The 1,902-nt window shown below is 35.3% G+C and overlaps 2 annotated features.

Annotated features, from left to right (window-relative positions):
- Positions 1–894: an enhancer, noted in NCBI's record as "OCT4-NANOG hESC enhancer chr10:38877019-38877912 (GRCh37/hg19 assembly coordinates)". NCBI's record gives its function as "activates a minimal SCP1, AML or CMV promoter by ChIP-STARR-seq in primed H9 embryonic stem cells {active_cell/tissue: H9 hESC(primed)}" and the evidence as "EXISTENCE:reporter gene assay evidence [ECO:0000049][PMID:30033119]".
- Positions 1,183–1,684: an enhancer, noted in NCBI's record as "NANOG hESC enhancer chr10:38876229-38876730 (GRCh37/hg19 assembly coordinates)". NCBI's record gives its function as "activates a minimal SCP1, AML or CMV promoter by ChIP-STARR-seq in primed H9 embryonic stem cells {active_cell/tissue: H9 hESC(primed)}" and the evidence as "EXISTENCE:reporter gene assay evidence [ECO:0000049][PMID:30033119]".

Below are 1,902 nucleotides of genomic sequence, written 5' to 3'. Positions count from 1 at the left end.
TCCTTTTGATTCCATTCGATGATCATTCCATTCAATTCCATTCAATGATTTCATTTGATTCCAATCGATGATGATTCCATTCAAGGCCATTTGATGATTCCATTTGATTCCATTCGATGGTGATTCCATCCAATGCCATTTGATGATTTCATTCGATTTCATTCAATGATGATTTCATTCTATTCCATTCGATGATTCTATTTGATTCCATTTGATGATGATTCCATTCGAGTCCATTCGATGATTCTATTCGATTCCATTCGATGATGACTGCATTCGAGTCTATTCAATGATTCCATTCGAATCCATTCGATGATGATTCCATTCGATGATTCCATTCAATTCCATTCTATGATGATTCCATTCGAGTCCATTTGATGTTTCCATTCGATTCCATTTGATGATTCCATTCGATTCCATTTGATGATGAGACCATTCGATTCAATTCCATGAGTATTCCATTCGATTCAATTTCGATGATATTTCCATTCGAGTCCATTCAATGATTCCATTCCATTCCATTAGACGATGGTTCCATTCGATGCCATTCGATGATTCCATTCAATTCCATTTGATGATGATTCCATTCGAGTCCATTCGATGATTCCATTCGATTCCATTTGATGATTATTCCATTCTATTCCATTCGATGATTCCATTCAATTCCATTCAATGATGATTCCATTCGAAGATTCCATTCCATTCCATTTGATGATGATTCCAGTCGAGTCCATTCGATGATTCCTTTTGATTCCATTCGATGATGATTCCATTCAAGTCAATTCAATGATTCCATTTGATGCCATTCAATGATGGTTTCTTTCAAGTCCACTCAATGATACCATTCGATTCCATTCAATGATGATTCCATTCGAGTGCATTCCATAATTCCATTCGTTTCTGTTCGATGATTGTTCCATTCAATTCCATTCCTTGATGAATCCTTTCCATTCCATTTGATGATGACTCCTTTCGATTGCATTTGTTGATGATGTCATTCAATTCCATTCAATGATGATGACTCCATTCAATTCCATTAGATGATGATTCCTTTCAATGATTATTCCATTCAATTCCATTCCATGATTATTCCTTTCAATTCATTTCAATGATGATTCCATTCAATTCCATACGATGATGATTCCACTCAAGTCCATTTAATGATTCCATTCGAATGCATTCAATCATTCCATTAGAGTCCATTCAAAGATTCCATTAGTTTCCATTAGATGATGATATCATTTGAGTCCATTCCATGATTCCATTCGATTCCATTTGATGATTCCATTCAAGTCCATTCAATGATTCCATTTGATTCCACTCGATGATGATTCTGTTCAATTCCATTCGATGATCATTCCATTCGATGCCATTTGATGATGATTCCATTCATCTCCATTTGATGATTATTCCATTTGAGTTCATTCGATGAGTCCACTCGATGATGATTCCATTCGTTTCCGTTCGATGGTGACTCCGTTCGATTCCATGTGGTGATGACTCCTTCCAATTCCATTCTATGATTCCATTTGATTCCATTCGATGATGATTCCATTCGAGTCCATTTGATGATTTCATTTGATTCCATTCTATTATTCAATTCGATTCCATTCGATGATGATTCCATTCGATTCCATTAGATGATAATTAGATTTGATTACTTTCGATGATTTTATTCGATTCCATTCGATGATTCATTTCGAGCCCATTTGATGATTCCATTCAATTCCATTCGATGATACCATATGATTCCATTTGATGATGATTCCATTAGAGTCAAATTGATGATGATTCCATTCGTTTCCATTTGACGATTCCATTCGATTCCATTCAATGTTTCACTTCGATACCATGTGATGATGATTCCATTCGATTCCATTTGATGACTCCATTCAGTTACAT

The sequence above is a fragment of the Homo sapiens genome, chromosome 10, assembly GCF_000001405.40.
Source record: "Homo sapiens chromosome 10, GRCh38.p14 Primary Assembly".
In the NCBI taxonomy this organism is placed as follows: Eukaryota; Metazoa; Chordata; class Mammalia; order Primates; family Hominidae; genus Homo; species Homo sapiens.
This window is presented reverse-complemented; position numbering and strand designations above follow the sequence as displayed.